Below are 16,422 nucleotides of genomic sequence, written 5' to 3'. Positions count from 1 at the left end.
ATCTGGATCTTCACTCATCATTTCTAATGCCCGCCTTCCCAACCTCCCTGTGATGTTTCTGCCTCATTAAGGCTTTATTTGTGTGGGCTTAATCCAAACAAAGCTGAAAAAAACAAAAACATGCCAAAAAGCCCACTGTGATTTGCAGAATGCTATCAACATCCGATTTCTAATATGTTTTCTTTACGAAAATCTTTTTTGTGGGGAAGTGACAAGGTTAAGGAGCTGGCTATAAACTATGAACTGCTTATCTTCACAAAAGGTGGACACATTCTTCCTAAACGTTCACAGAAGGTGCTGTTGGTGTTTTTGACATTGGTGTTATACCAGTTATACGTAAGGGAGGTCTCATGGTGTGAGATCTTGATGGATTAAAGCATGTGATCATGCTTATTTATTCATGGGTCAAAATATATACTGAGTTTATTGCTAACTTTCGTGAGGCACTGTGAAGAAGACTCCTCAGCAAGTAGAAAAAAAAAATAACACTTGCAAAATGCCGGTTTATGTGAGAAGCAGGGCATTCAATATTGCTTGAAGCTAGGCTGAGAAGCAGGAGGTATGTTGGCCTGGACACTGGTATGGCCTGTACTGAAGAGTATCCTGTAGGCCTCCCTGCAGCTCCACCGATCTCAAACAAGACTGCGTGTGCCACTGGGAACAGTGCTAGGCAAGCAATGAGGAAGCTGTTGCATCGCAGTATTAATTTTCTTCAAACACAGGAAAAATAGTTTTATATGAAAAGTAGCATACAAAATTGACATGCATTTTTAAGCCCAACACTAACAGATGATTTTAAGGGTAACTGGGCTATGTCAGGGGCCCCCAGGGTACATGTTGATTGATCTGCTGAGTGAGAATCACATAGAAAACAACTAACTTGCTTATAATCTGGACACAGAAGGCTCTAGATTATGAAGTAAGGTGACCTCCAAGATGTAGGCCAAAAAATGAGGAGATCAGAATTAAGAAAGGTCACAGTTACTGTGGTCAGCAAAGGGATTCCTTCAAGGCTGAAGCCAACCAGAATGCACTCCATGTCTGAGATCGCCTGTTCACACCTGTCCAGGTAACACATCCCATCTGGACAGGGTAACTGGTGGTTTTCCCAGGTTCCCAGACTCTGCACATCACCTCTCTCCATGTCAAAGGACACAACCAGCATTGTCTTTATTTATTTATTTATTTATTTATTTATTTATTTATTTATTTATTTTTAATAGATGAAGTCTTGCTCTGTTGCCCAGGCTACAGTGCAGTGGCGGCACAATCTCGGCTCACTGCAACCTCTGCCTCCGAGGTTCAAGTGATTCTCTTGCCTCAGCCTCCCGAGTAGCTGGGATTGCAGATGCGTGCCACCACGTCCAGCTAATATTTGCATTTTTAGTAGAGACGGGGTTTCACCATGTTGGCCAGGCTGGTCTGGAACTCCTGACCTCAAGTGATCTGCCTGCCTCGGCCTCCCAAAGTGCTGGGATTACAGGCGTGAGCCACCGTGCCCACAGCCAGCATTGTCTTTTAACAGTTTTGAAATGCGGATGCCTTTATAGAAGGCATTCCCTTTCCAGTTAGCAGCAACCCCCGCCCCCACTAAATTCACATCATGAGAGCCCTCACAGACTGGTAGCAGCTGCTTGGCCCCAGGAGGTGTGTGGGTTTGTGAGGGCTTGGCCAACTCTCTGAGGTCTGACACCGTCCTCCTCACTGTGGCTCTGTTGTTAGTCATGGGTTCTGTTTCCGGCGATGTGGCTTCTGATTTGCATCTGCGAGGTAGGCCCCTACTCACCTCAGTTGACAGGCCCGGGACCCAGGCCTCTCAGAAACTGCATCCTTACAGAGACCTCAGCCTCACACCTAGACTTCCCTGGTTCTGGGCTTCCTCAGGTCACCTGTCTCCACACTGACCCTTTTTGTGTTCTGCTGATGTGTCCCTTTGTGTAGGGCCCCGTCAGCACGAACTGCCTGTAGTGCAGTGGGCCACAAGCTTTTTGGCATCAGGGACTGGTTTTGTGGAAGACAGTTTTTCCACAGACCAGGCTGGGGATGGCTTCGGGATGATTCAAGCGCATTATGTGTATCACTAGGTTCTCATAAGGAGCACATACGCAGTTCACAATAGGGTTGACTCTCCTATGAGAATCGAATGCCACTGCGGTTGGACGGGAGATGGAGCTCAGGGGGAAATGCTTACTTGTTCACTGCTCACCTGCTGTGCGACCTGGCTTCTAACACACCGTTGACTGGTCCTCGTCTGTGGCAGGCGGTTGGGGACCGCTGCTGTAGAGGACCCATATTAAGCTGTCAGACTGGACTCTCTCCCAGGGCTTGACTCTGTTATGCCAGAGTCTGCCTCATCCAGAGCTTAGGGCCACAGAGTGGCCTTGGTCCCACACAAGAAACTAGGCCACTCTGGACCAGTTTAAGATTTGACAGTTCATGCAAATTAAATTTGTTTTAACATTGTGTTGGGAAGTAGCTACAGCTACTTTAAAGTGATTTGTAAACTTGGCACTGAGTTACCTATTTACTTAACACATACATACTAAGTGTGCACGTCCTGGGTACTTAGAGTCTAGCAATTCTCAAAGTGGGGTTCCAGACCAGCAACAATGGCCTCACTTGAGAACTTGTTAGAAATGCAAATTCCCAGCCCTTCCCCAGACCTGAGTAGAAATGCTGGGGAGGAGCCCAGCAATCTGTATTTCAGCAAGCCCTGAAGGTTCAGATTGCGTGTTAAAGTTTGCAATCCCTTGCTATGGTGCATGCCACTAGCTCTGCTAGATGTCAGGGATACTCGATGAGTACGCAGTCCTAAGAATGAGCCCAAGGTCTCACTGGTGGGGTGGCATGAACAGGGGGACTGTAGGAATGATTTGTGTCAGCGGCTCAAGAACGGCCCTTGGCAGCCTCATCACAGAGTATTTTTCAGTCCATTTCCACACTGAATGGGGTCTGAGGATCTGGTAGGACAGCTGGCTTGTAATGTAGATCGAAGTCCCCTCAATTAGAGAAGGGTAATTCATTAATTGGCCAGGGTCTGATGGAAATGGAAGTAGGACTTGGCTTCTCTGACATTGTGTGTTCCCCAAGCAGTCTTTTGCTGTTGCCTACTTTCTGAGGGGCAGTGGCCCCTCTGCACTAGGACGGGTATTGGCACAGGCTCTCCGTTTCTTGTCTAGGGCTCTGCTAAGATTTCAAAAAGAACCACCTACAAAAGAAAACCAGTTTTTTTCTAATTGAAGTCACTGACTCAAAAAAATTTTTTGAAGTCTGTACACATTTGGAAAATATTATTTTTAAAGAAGTATAATAATTCTATTAAGTTTAAAATCAGAGACCACAACAAATACAAAAAAAATAACATTTACCTCTATCTTATGAGCACTTAAAAGGCATTTGGGGTAACAGAGGTAAAGACGTTAGAGGTAAAAATGATGTCGCGGAGGAAGGGGAGAGAAACCTGAAAGGCCTGCTCTCATAACCCCCTCCACCCCTGCTCTCTTGATTTTAAGGTAATCATTCCATTTTGTTACTGTCTTTTATCCTTCCATTGAACCTGAGATTTAACCTGAATGTAGATAGATGATGAGAGAGAGAGAGGAGAGGCAGAGAGAGAAGGAGAGAGATGAGATTTTTCTTGATGTCTGTGTAGTCAATGAAAATGGCGATCCTATGGGATCATCCCTGAGGCCAGGGAGAGCCCTAGACCTAGTCACTTTCCTAACATACCTGACTCTTTGTTTGACATTCTGAGAGGGTCTGATTGTCTTAGTTTTATTCTTTGTACAATTGGAGAAACTCTATTCTGCATTGCTTCAAAGATGTTGCTTTGAAAGGGTCTAATATCTTGGTATTTGCTGAGAGCAGGATGGTGTTTGGCAACATACAGATAGGTGATCCTCTGCCCTGAGCTAGGCGAATGCCTTACTATGTAGAATCCAAAATAGAAAAGGTGGGAGCAAATTAACTCATTTATTTAGCAAGTACTGACCTTGTGCCTACCACATGCCTGGCACTGTGCTCGGTGCCTTAAAAATGTTACTTCACGTAAAACTCTATCCACCCTGTGAGGTGGGCACTGTCATTCTGCTCTCACCAGTAATAAAGCTGAGGCACAGAGGATGCAGTCAGCCCCACCCAGGTCAGAGAGGCAGTGAGCAGTGGTACCAGGATTCCATCCCAGGCAGGCTGTTCTGAGCGCCATCACTGCACCCAGTGCTGATGTGGGAAATCACGCCCAATCCCTAATCAATGGGCAAAGCTGCAGATCAGGATGGGGCTGCTCCATCAGAGGTGGTGAGGAGGAGAGGTCAGACCCAGGAGGTGGTGAGAATGTGTGAGTGGCCAGGCAGCCTCTTCCACTTGCCCATGGCCCAGTGGCACAGTGACCTACTGAGGTCTTGTGGAGGGATGCACTTGTAACACCCAATTAGAGAATCATTAATCCTTTGTCCTCAGGAGATGAGAGGCAGGTTGGGATCTGATGAGCGTGTAAGGAAAACCCACAGAGAGTAGGCAGCAGCTGTGCCTCTCTGTCCATTGTTGGGCACTGCCATTGTCCCAAGGGTGGCCTCTCTGGGTGAATTCTCCAGTAGCATCAAAGGAGGCTAGAAAGAACTGGCTGTTTGGAGTTTGGCATTTGAAAATGTCAGCCAGTAGCAACTTAAAGGGCGTGGTGCAAAGTAGCAGAAACGGCATTCCCTCACACCTTGCTGTGCAAAGACGTGCTCCAGAAAAGTGTGTAGTGGAAAAGTAGTCAATCGAGCTGAATTTTACATGAGACTGGGAAGGGTCACACCAAGTTTCAAACCCTGCAGGAAACATCATAAGACGAGTTCCTGCTTTTGGACCCATGTCCTCACAGGGTTGAGCTTGTGTGTGTCCAGGTTCTTTAATGCCACCAAGTCAGGTCTTCCTTAGAAAGCTGTGTTTACCTGACACAAATAGAGGCAGCCCCAGAGAGAGCAAAGCAAGAGCCAAAGCTGGAGCTCCTGGCAGCCCCCAAACCTCCCACTTTCATGTGGAAGCCCCGCTGTCCTGGGTGCGGGTTCCAGCCCTGGGAAGGGATGGTGTCTGAGGTTTCCTCCAGGTTGAGAGGGTAACTGTGCCCTGCAAGTAACTTAAGCATGTCTGATAACTCATGTCTGTGGGGACTGGGTTTTAGTATCATGTCCTTATAGGGTTTGGGGGTGGAGTTTTGCCTCCCCCCAATTTAAATTTGGGCAGGTGGGTTGTTGATGATCTACTCCCACCCTCGACTGCTGAAGATATCATGGCAGCTTTCACATGAGGAGCACTTGCTGGGCAGAGCTGCCTTCACAGGGTGGGGCAGGGGTGTAAAGGCCCACATTGTGGAGTATTGACCAGCAGATTGTGGAGATCCATTTGGCACACAAGGTGGAGATTTGGGCACTCAATTATTTATTTGGCTGCAATTAATATACTCCTCTGTGAGCACACTGCATACTGGCTTCTGCCGTGGCCAGGTGGGATCATTCTCTGTGCTGGGGAAAAGCTGTGGAGCCCCGGGCTGTCCACTCCCTTTCACCTCTCTAGATGCTCCAAACCTGTCACCAGTTATTGGACTAAAAGAACAGAGGATCACAGTAGTTGCATTCGTGTAATTTTTGTGTTTGACAACTGATTTGTATCTGTTTACTGGGTAGAGACAGCCTCTTGGTGGGGATTAGAGGGAAAGCAAGTCAGGTCAGACAAGAGTGGACCCCAGCTCCCTTGCCTCATGGAAATCCAGGGACCCACTCCCCATCCTCAGACCGCAGGAGGACTGGAGGACACCATGGGCAGTGCATGGTGTGGCCACAGGCTCATCACAGATACACAGGATGTGGTCAGGAGCCTGTGGTGTTCGCATTTTTAAGAAGTCTGTTCGCTATGCTGAGGGTTCTCTGTGGACTGTCGTGTCTGCATGTGCATAGTGATGTTCTCCCTGTTTTGTTTCCTGGAGCTCTTCATTGAGTTGAAGGTTTTTACCCAGTATCTGAAAGAATCAGAACTCATGGTAGTTATTAACCTGCACGCCCCGCTGTGGGGTTCTGGAGGGTTGGGGCTGCCCAGGCCGCACCAGGTGCTCCCACTGCCACCAGCACCCACTTCCCAGGGGTGTCTAGTATCTTCCTTACTGGCACCTGCTCTTCCTTAATCACTTCCTGGAGAGTGGATGAGGGTAAATATTGTCATGGAGATAGCTTTGAGCGTTGTTTGTATCAATGAGAACATTATTGATGCTCTTTTCTTGTAGCATTGGCATGAGAAAGAGGGCACTTTAGGGATTCTTGTAGGATTGGGTTTGCCTGTGGGTTTATGGTTCAGTGTTAGGGCCCTGCAGCTCATGCTCAGGGTCACGGAGGAATGAACGAGTGCCTCTGGCTGATCAGGCACCTAGGGCTTTGCAAATGTTTTTTTTTTTTTTTTTTTTTTTTTTAATTGATCATTCTTGGGTGTTTCTCACAGAGGGGGATTTGGCAGGGTCATAGGACAATAGTGGAGGGAAGGTCAGCAGATAAACAAGTGAACAAAGGTCTCTGGTTTTCCTAGGCAGAGGACCCTGCGGCCTTCTGCAGTGTTTGTGTCCCTGGGTACTTGAGATTAGGGAGTGGTGATGACTCTGCCTTCAAGCATCTGTTTAACAAAGCACATCTTGCACCGCCCTTAATCCATTTAACCCTGAGTGGACACAGCACATGTTTCAGAGAGCACAGGGTTGGGGGTAAGGTCACAGATCAATAGGATCCCAAGGCAGAAGAATTTTTCTTAGTACAGAACAAAATGAAAAGTCTCCCATGTCTACTTCTTTCTACACAGACACGGCAACCATCCGATTTCTCAGTCTTTTCCCCACCTTTCCCCGCTTTCCATTGCACAAAACCGCCACTGTCATCATGGCCCGTTCTCAATGAGCCGCTGGGCACGCCTCCCAGATGGGGTGGTGGCCGGGCAGAGGGGCTCCTCACTTCCCAGCAGGGGCAGCCGGGCAGAGGCGCCCCTCACCTCCCGGATGGGGTGGCTGGCCGGGCGGGGGGCTGACCCCCCCCACCTCCCTCCCGGACGGGGCGGCTGGCCGGGCGGGGGGCTGACCCCCCCCACCTCCCTCCCAGACGGGGCGGCTGGCCTGGCGGGGGGCTGACCCCCTACCTCCCTCCTGGACGGGGTGGCTGCCGGGCGGAGACGCTCCTCACTTCCCAGACGGGGTGGCTGCCGGGCGGAGGGGCTCCTCACTTCTCAGACGGGGCGGCTGCCGGGCGGAGGGGCTCCTCACTTCTCAGACGGGGCGGTTGCCAGGCAGAGGGTCTCCTCTCTTCTCAGACGGGGCGGCCAGGCAGAGACGCTCCTCACCTCCCAGACGGGGTCACGGCCGGGCAGAGGCGCTCCTCACATTCCAGACGGGGCGGCGGGGCAGAGGCGCTCCCCACATCTCAGACAATGGGCGGCCAGGCAGAGATGCTCCTCACTTCCTAGATGGGATGGCGGCCGGGAAGAGGCTCTCCTCACTTCCTAGATGGGATGGCGGCCAGGCAGAGACGCTCCTCACTTTCCAGACTGGGCAGCCAGGCAGAGGGGCTCCTCACATCCCAGACGATGGGCGGCCAGGCAGAGACGCTCCTCACTTCCCAGACGGGGTGGTGGCCGGGCAGAGGCTGCAATCTCGGCACTTTGGGAGGCCAAGGCAGGCGGCTGGGAGGTGGAGGTTGTAGCGAGCTGAGATCACGTCACTGCACTCCAGCCTGGGCACCATTGAGCACTGAGTGAACGAGACTCCGTCTGCAATCCCGGCACCTCGGGAGGCCGAGGCTGGCGGATCACTCGCGGTTAGGAGCTGGAGACCAGCCCGGCCAACACAGTGAAACCCCGTCTCCACCAAAAAAATACGAAAACCAGTCAGGTGTGGTGGCGCTTGCCTGCAATCGCAGGCACTCGGCAGGCTGAGGCAGGAGAATCAGGCAGGGAGGTTGCAGTGAGCCGAGATGGCAGCAGTACCGTCCTGCTTCGGCTCGGCATCAGAGGGAGACCGTGGAAAGAGAGGGAGAGGGAGACCATGGGGCAAGTGCGAGGGAGAGGGAGAGGGAGACTGCAAATGTTTTGAGTTCAGAGACAAAATTTTATTTATTTTAGAGTCTTCCAATTGACCTAGTAACACATTGTACCCACTAGGTGATCTGTAATCGCTTGTTAAATTAAATGTGTACTTTTATGTCAGTTTCCTTCCATTTCCTTAACCAAAAAAAAAAAAAAATGTCCGCTGTACCAAGTACCTATTGGGAAAAGTGATTTTCTTTTTTTTCTTGTGTTTTATTTTCAGCTTTATTGGGAGTGTAATTGACAGATAGAAATGGTATATACTGAAGGTGTATAACTTGATGTTGATATACATATATATTTGTGAAATAGCCACAAAGTAGTTAACACATCCTTCACTTTACAGACTTGTGTGTGTATGTGTGTGTGTGTAGTGAGAACACTGAAGGTTGACTCTCTTAGCACATTTCAAGTATACAGTGCAGTATTGTCAGCTGCAGTCCTCATGGTGGACATTAGACACCAGATCTCCAGAGCTTACTTGTCCTTCGTAACAGAAACTGTGTGTCTTTGACCACCTCCCTATTGCCCAGCCCCTGCAACCACTCTTCTGTTCTCTGCTTCTGGGAGTTCAACTATTTTAGATTCCACATATAAGTGAATCAGGTGGTGTGTTTGTCTTTCTGTCTGGCTTTTACTTAGTGTAGTGTCCTCCAGCTTCATCCATGTTGTCACACGTGGCAGGATTTCCTTCTCTTTTAAGGCTGTGTAATACTTCATTGTATATACGTAACCACATTTTCTTTATCCATTCATCCATTGATAGTCATTTAGGTTACTTCCACTTCTTGGCTATTGTGAATACTGCTGCAATAGATACTGCGAATAGCGCTGCAATAGATATGGGAGTGCAGATATCTCTTAAAAATTCTGATTTCATTTTCTTTCTTTTTTTTTTTTTTTGAGACAGAGTCTCGCTCTGTCAACCAGGCTGGAATATAGTGGCGCGATCTCGGCTCAGTGCAATCTTTGCCTCCTGGGTTCAAGCAATTCTCCTGCCTCAGCCTTCCGAGTAGCTGGGATTACAGGCATGTGCCACCACGCCTGGCTAATTTTTGTATTTTTAGTGGAGATAGGGTTTTGTGTTGTTGGCCAGGCTGGTCTTGAACTCTTGACCTCAGGTGATCCACCCACCTTGGCCTCCCAAAGTGCTAGGATTACAGGTGTGAACCACCGTGCCTGGCCCATTTTCTTTAGAAATATGTACCCAGAACTGGGATTGGTGGGTTATATGGTAATTCTATTTTTAATTTTTTGAAGAACCACCAGACTGTTTTCCATAATGGCTGTACCAATTTACATTCCTGCCAGCAATGTTCAAGGTTTTCCTTTTCTCCACATTCTCACCAACACTTGCTATTTTTTGTCTTTTTGATAAAATTGCCATTCTAACAGGTGTGAGGTGATATTGTGGTTTTGAATTGCACTTTCCTGATGGTGATGTTCAGTATACCTGTTGACCATTTGTATGTCTTATTTTGAGAAATATCTATTCAGATCCTTGGCCCATTTTAAGGGAGTTATTTGCTATTGAGTTGTTTGAGTTCTTTATCTATTTTGGATATTAACCCCTTAATTGGATATGTGGCTGTCAAGTATTTTCTCCCATTCCATAGATTGCACTTCTCTCTGTTGACTGTTCCTTTGCTGGACAGAAAGAAGCCTTTTAGCTTGATGCAGTCCTATTTGTCTATTTTTGCTTTTGCTCTCTATGCTTTTAGTGTCATATCTGTAAAAAAAAAAAAAACAAAAAACCAAAAAACAAAAACAAACAAACAAAAAACTGCCCAGACCAATGTCATGAAGCTTTTTCCTGTGTTTTCTTCTCACAGTTTTATGGCTTCAAATCTTATATTTAAGTGTTTATAATCTATTTTGAGTTTTTTTTTTTCTGTATAGAGTGAGATAAGGGTCAGATTTCATTTTTCTGCATATGGATATTCAGTTTTCCTGGCACTATTTATTGAAGAGATGGTACTTTCCCCATTGTGACTTCTTGGCATCCTTGGCAAAGATCTGCTGACTCTTAATGCATGGATTTATTTTTGGGCTCTCTATTTTGTTCCATTAGTCTACATGTTTGATTTTCTGCAAGTACCATGCTGTTTTGTACACTATAGCTGTGTAAGATATTTTGAAGTCAGGATGTTTGATACCTCCAGGTTTGTTCTTCTTTCTTAAGATATCTTTGAGTATTCAAGATCTTTTGTTGTTCTTTATGAGTTTTTGCATTGTTTCTTCTCTGTTTCTGTAAAGAATGCCAATGGGATTTTGATAGGGATTGCATTGAATCTGTAGATCTTTTTGTGAGATATGGAAATTGTAACAATATTAATTCTTCTAATCCATGAACACAGGACAGCTTTACATTTATCTGTGTCTCCTTTGATTTCTTTCATCAATGTATTATAATGTTCAGTGTACCAATCTTTCACCTGTTTGGTTAAGTTTATTTCTAAGTATTTTATTATTTATTATTGCTATTTTCCTACTTTCTTAATTTCCTTTTTAAATGGTTTATGTATAGAAATGCCACTGATTTTTTTGGCTGGGTGTGGTGGCTCACACCTGTAATCCCAGCACATTGGGAGGCCAAGGCGGATGGATCACGAGGTCAAGAGATCGAGACCATCCTGGCCAACATGGTGAATCCCTGTCTCTACGAAAAATACAAAAATTAGCTGGGCGTGGTGGTGCATACCTGTAGTCCTAGCTACTTGGGAGGCTGAGGCAGCAGAATTGCTTGAACCCGGGAGGCGGAGGTTGCAGTGAGCCGAGATAGCACCATGCACTCCAGCCTGGCGACAGAGTGAGACTCTGTCTTAAAAAAAAAAAAAAAAGCCACTGATTTTTTTGTATTGATTTTATAATAAGCAACTTTAAATTGTTTATTACTTTTAACGGTTTTTTCTTGTTGTTGAGTTTTCAGAGCTTTCTATGTGTATGATCATATCACTTGTAACCCGGGATAATTTCAGTTATTTTTTGATGTATGTGCCTTTTATTTATTTTTCTTGTCCAATGCCTCTGGCTAGGACTACCAGTACTGTATTGAATAGAAGTTGTGAGAGCGGACATCCTTGCTTTGTATGGACCTTAAAAGCTTTCAGTTTTTCTCCATTGATTATAATGTTAGCTGTGAGCTTTTTGTATATGGTTTTTATAATGTTGAAGTAAATTCCTTCTCTGCCTTTTTTTGGTGAGAGTTTCAGCATGCATGGATATTGAGTTTTGTCAGATGCTTTTTCTGTATCCATTGAGATGATTATGTAGTTTCTATGTTTCCTTGTGTTGATGTGTTGTATCACATTGATTAATTTGCAAATGTTGAACCATCCTTGCATCTCAGGGAGAAATCCTACTTAGTTGTGGAGTATAATCCTTTAAATGTGCTGTTGAATTTTGTATGCTAGTATTTTATTGAGGATTTCTGCATCCATGTTCGTCAGGGATATTAGCCTATAATATTCTTTTATTTTGGGATCTTTGACTTTGGTGTCAGCATGATTCTAGCCTCATAAAATTTGTTTGGAAATAGGCCCTCTTTTTCTATTTTTTTGGAAGAGTTTAAAAAGCACTAGTATCAATTATTCCTTGACTGTTTGATAGTGTTCTTCATTGAATCGATTTGGTCCTGGACTTTTCCGTTTGTGATGAGATTTAATTGCTAATATAATCTCTGTATTTGTTATTGGTCTCTTCAGGATTTCTGTTTCTCCTTGACTCAATTTTGGTACATGTCGAGGAATTTATCCATTTTTTTCTTTTTTTTTAGGGATGATGTGATTTGTTAGTGTATTTTTGTAATACTGCCTAGTGATCTTTTTTATTCATATTTCTAAGATATTTGTTATAATAGCTCCTCTTTCAGATTTTAAGTCTTCTCTCTTTTTTTAATGCAGCCAAGAGTTTTTTTTTTTTTTTTTTTTTTTTGAGACGGAGTCTCGCTCTGTCGCCCAGGCTGGAGTGCAGTGGCGCGATCTCGGCTCACTGCAAGCTCCGCCTCCCGGGTTCACGCCATTCTCCTGCCTCAGCCTCCCGAGTAGCTGGGACTACAGGCGCCCGCCACTACACCCGGCTAATTTTTTGTATTTTTAGTAGAGACGGGGTTTCACCGTGTTAGCCAGGATGGTCTCGATCTCCTGACCTCGTGATCCGCCCGCCTCGGCCTCCCAAGAGTTTTTTTTTTAATTTTTCTGTTCTCTATTTCAGTTATCTTTGCTGTAATCTTTATTATTAACTTCCTTATGCTAACTTTGGGCTCAGTTTGTTTTTATTCTTGTTCCCTGAAGTGTAAAGTTAGGTTGTTTATTTGAGATCTTCCTCCTCCTCCTCCTCATTATTCTTATTTTTCCAGACAGAGTCTCGCTCTGTCACCCAGGCTGGAGTGCAGTGGTGCGATCGCGGATCACTGCAAGCTCTGCCCTCTAGGTTCAAACAATTCTCCTGCCTCAGCCTTCCAAGTAGCTGGGATTACAGGCCCGTGCCACCATGCTCAGCTAATTTTTATATTTTTAATAGAGATGGGGTTTTACTATGTTGGCCAGGCTGGTCTCTAACTCCTGACCTCAAGTGATCCACCTGCCTTGGCCTCCCAAAGTGCTGGGATTACAGGCGTGAGCCACTGTGCCCGGCCCTTCCTTCTTTTTAAATGTAGGATCTTACTGCTATAAACTTCCCTATTAGTATTAGTTTTGTTCCATCCCATAAGTTTTGACAACTTTTGTTTCCATGTTCATTTGTCTCAAGATATTTTCTAAATTCCCTTTTGATTTCTCCTTTGACTCAGTGGTTGCTCAAGATTGTGTTGTGTAGTTTCCATGTACCGTAGTCCTCCCTTTCTGTGGGGGATTTGTTCTAAAACCTCTGGTGGATGCTTGAAACCACAGATCGTACTAAAGTTTATATATACCATGTTTTTTCCTATGCATACACATCTATAATAAAATTTAATTATAAATTGGATATAGTAAAAGATTGACAATGAATCAATTTAAAAATAAAATATAACAATTGTAACCATATTGTTATAATAGTTATCATACACCGTGGCTATAACTTTTGCAGATTGAGGCACAACTGCAAAACTAGCATGAATATCTTTTTTCTTCTTCACAATTTTAGGGATAGAAGATTCATTTTTACCCTAGATCTTAGCAACCTCAGTGTACTTTTTTTTCTTTCCTTATTAAGTCAGGAACTTTTACCTTTTCACTTAATGGATGCACTTTATGGCTTTTCTTTGGCATCCAAAGAACCAGCATCATTACTCTTGAGGTCTGAGGCCATTATTAAGTAAAGTAAGGGTGACTGAAACACAAGCACTGCAATACCATGACAAGCGATCTGATAACGGAGATGGCCATGAAGTGACTAGTAGGTGGGTAGAGTATACAGTGTGAATACATTGGACAAAGGGATGGTTGATGTCCCAGGCAGGATGAGGCAGGATGGTGCAAGATTTCATCACACTGATTAAATTTGTGAGTTGTTCATTTATGAAATTTTCCATTTAATATCTTCAGACTGTGGGTAAAATGATATCACAGAAGGTGAATTCCATGTTTGTATTTTTTTTTCATTCTTAGAAATACTGTTATTGATTGCTAATGTCATTCCATTATGGCTGGAAAAGGCACTTGGAAGATTTTGATCTTACTAAAATTTTCAGACCTCTTTTGACACCTAACTTGTTATATACCCTGAAGAATGTTCCACATGCTCTTGAGAAGAATCTGTATTCTTCTGATATTAGATGGACATTATATATATTAGGTCAATGTGGTCTATAGTGTTTTTCAGTTATTCTGTTTACTTATTGATTGATCTTTCTACCAGAATGGTCTATCCATTATAGAGAGTAAAGTTTTGAAGTCTCTTCATATTATTGTATTATTATTGTATTGCTGTCTCTTTCTCCCTTCAGATTTATGAATGTTTACTTTACATATTTAGGTGCTTTCATGTTGGTGGTTTAAGTATTAATATTTATAACTATTGGGTCTTTCTGTTGAATTGTCCCTTATATCATTATATAATGACGTTTGTCACTTGTGAGAGTTTTGACTTAAACCCTATTTTATTTAATGACAATATAGCTACCCCTGCTCTCCTTTCTTTTCTTTCATTCTTTCTTTCTTTTTTTTTTTTTTTTTGAGACGGAGTCTCACTCTGTCACCCAGGCTGGAGTGCAGTGGCACCATCTCGGCTTACTGCAATCTCTGTCTCCTGGGTTCAAGCAATTCTTCTGCCTCAGCCTCCCAAGTAGCAGGGATTAAAGGCGCCCACCACCACGCCCAGCTAATTTTTGGTATTTTTAGTAAAGATGGGGTTTCACCATGTTGGCCAGGCTGGTCTCGAACTCCTGACATCGTGATCTGCCCGCCTCGGCCTCCCAAAGTGTTGGGATTGCAGGTGTGAGCCACCATGCCGGGCTCCTTTCTTTAACCTTTTTCATGAAATATCATTCTTCATTCTTTATTTTCAACCTCTATGTGTCCTTAAATCTAAAATGAGTCTCTTGTAGACAGCATAGTTTATTATTATTATTTTATTTGTTCATCTACGGTATTTCTTTTGATTGGAGAGTTTAGTACATTTGAATTTCAAATAATTATTAATAGGTAAGGACTTACTCTTGCCATTTTGTCATTTGTTTTCTACCTTTATTATAGTTCTCTTACTCCTCTTGGTATCTTTCTTTGTGGTTTGATTATCGTAGCAGTGTACTTTGATTCTTCTCTCTTAATCTTTTTTGCATCTACTGTACATCGTGTGTGTATTTGTGTGTGGTTACCATAGAGTTTACACTGAATAATTTATAGTTACAGCAGTCTGTTTGAAGCTGATATCCACTTCACTTCAATCATATACAGGCGCTCTACAGTTTACTTCCCCCTCCCACAGACACTTTATGTAACTGATGTCAGATTTTATTTTTCTGTGTTGTATTTCCATTAGCAAATTTATGTGGGTATATTTATTCTGACAACTTGCCTTCTAATTTGTATACTAGTGTTTAAAGAGATTTGTGTGTACCATTTCAGTATTACAATATTCTGTGTTTACCTTTAGCAGTGAGATTCATATTTTCATATGCTTTCATGATGCTGTTTATCATCTTTTCATTTCAGCTTGAAAAACTAACTTTAGCAGGTCTAGTGGTGACAAACTTCCTAGTTTTGACAGGGGAAGACTTATCTCTCCTTCATCCTTAAACTACAGTTTTTCTGGATAAAGTATTCTTGTTTGGCATTTTTTTCTTTCAGTACTTTGCTGTATCATCCCATTGTCTCCTGGCCTGCAAGGTTTCTGCTGATAAATCTTACAATGTTTCCCTTGTGTGTGACAAGGTGCCTTTCTCTTGCTGCTTTCAAAATTGTCTCTTTGTCTTTTATTTCTGAAAAACTCTTAATATTTGAGACAAACTATAATGTGCTTCAGAGTAGTGCTCTTTTTGTTTAATATATTTGAAGATCTTAGGACTTTATGTCAACTTCCCTCTGTAGAGTTGGGAAGATTTTTGCCATTATTTCTTTAAATAGGCTTTCCACCACTTTGATGGTGTTCTGTAAGTTTCATAGGCTTTCTTCACTTTTTCTTTTTTTTTTTTTCTTCTAACTGGTTAATTTCAAATGACCAGGCTTCAGATTTACTGATTCTTTTTCCTACACGATCAGGTTTTCTGTTGAAGCTGTCTATTGGGTTTTTCAGTTCAATCATTGTATTCTTCAGCTGCAAGATTTCTGTTTGGTTTCTTCTTGATGCTTCTGTTTCATTATTAAATTTCTCATTTTGTTCATGTATTGATTTCCTGATTTCATTTAGTTTTAAAATCTGTATTCTCCTGAAGCTCATTGAGCTTCTTTAAGATGGCTATTTTGGATTCCTTTTCAGGTAATTTATGGATCTCCACTTTTCTGGGGTTGGTTACTGGGGTTTTGTTAGTTAACTTTGGTGGTGTTATGTTTACCTAATGCTTTGTGGTCCATGTAAACGTGTGTGTGTCTGTGCATTTGAAGGAGCAGACATCTCCAGTCTTTACAGACTGGTTTTGGCAAGTAAGGATCTACTCCTAGCTCACCAGACTGATGTTATTGCCTCTGGTATCTCAGTCAAGCTGAGTTTGGAGTCAGGTAAGTTGGCCGTTTCAGGGTCTGCAGTTGGGACTGAGCTTGGGGAACCTGTCACCAAGGGTATGAATAGACGTGTCTCCCAGCAGGCCACAGTGGAGAGGGGCTGAAGCCAGGTCACATGACTACTTTAGTATCTGCAGTTGGGTCTGAGGTCAGCGAGCATGTTATTGGGGGGATAGGTTGGGTATGGCCC

General features: G+C 43.8%; 1 protein-coding gene across 22 annotated transcripts in view, besides 1 other annotated feature; it reads left to right on the top strand.

Moving 5' to 3' along the window:
• Window positions 1-16,422, top strand: part of COBL (cordon-bleu WH2 repeat protein) — a 300,598-nt gene that overhangs the window by 101,321 nt on the left and 182,855 nt on the right. The window lies entirely within an intron of this gene.
• Window positions 1,306-1,805: an enhancer, noted in NCBI's record as "H3K4me1 hESC enhancer chr7:51281381-51281880 (GRCh37/hg19 assembly coordinates)". NCBI's record gives its function as "activates a minimal SCP1, AML or CMV promoter by ChIP-STARR-seq in primed H9 embryonic stem cells {active_cell/tissue: H9 hESC(primed)}" and the evidence as "EXISTENCE:reporter gene assay evidence [ECO:0000049][PMID:30033119]".

This window comes from Homo sapiens, chromosome 7 (genome assembly GCF_000001405.40).
Source record: "Homo sapiens chromosome 7, GRCh38.p14 Primary Assembly".
Taxonomy (NCBI): Eukaryota; Metazoa; Chordata; class Mammalia; order Primates; family Hominidae; genus Homo; species Homo sapiens.
Note: the sequence above shows the minus strand (reverse complement) of the source record. Positions and strands in the feature narration are given on the sequence as shown.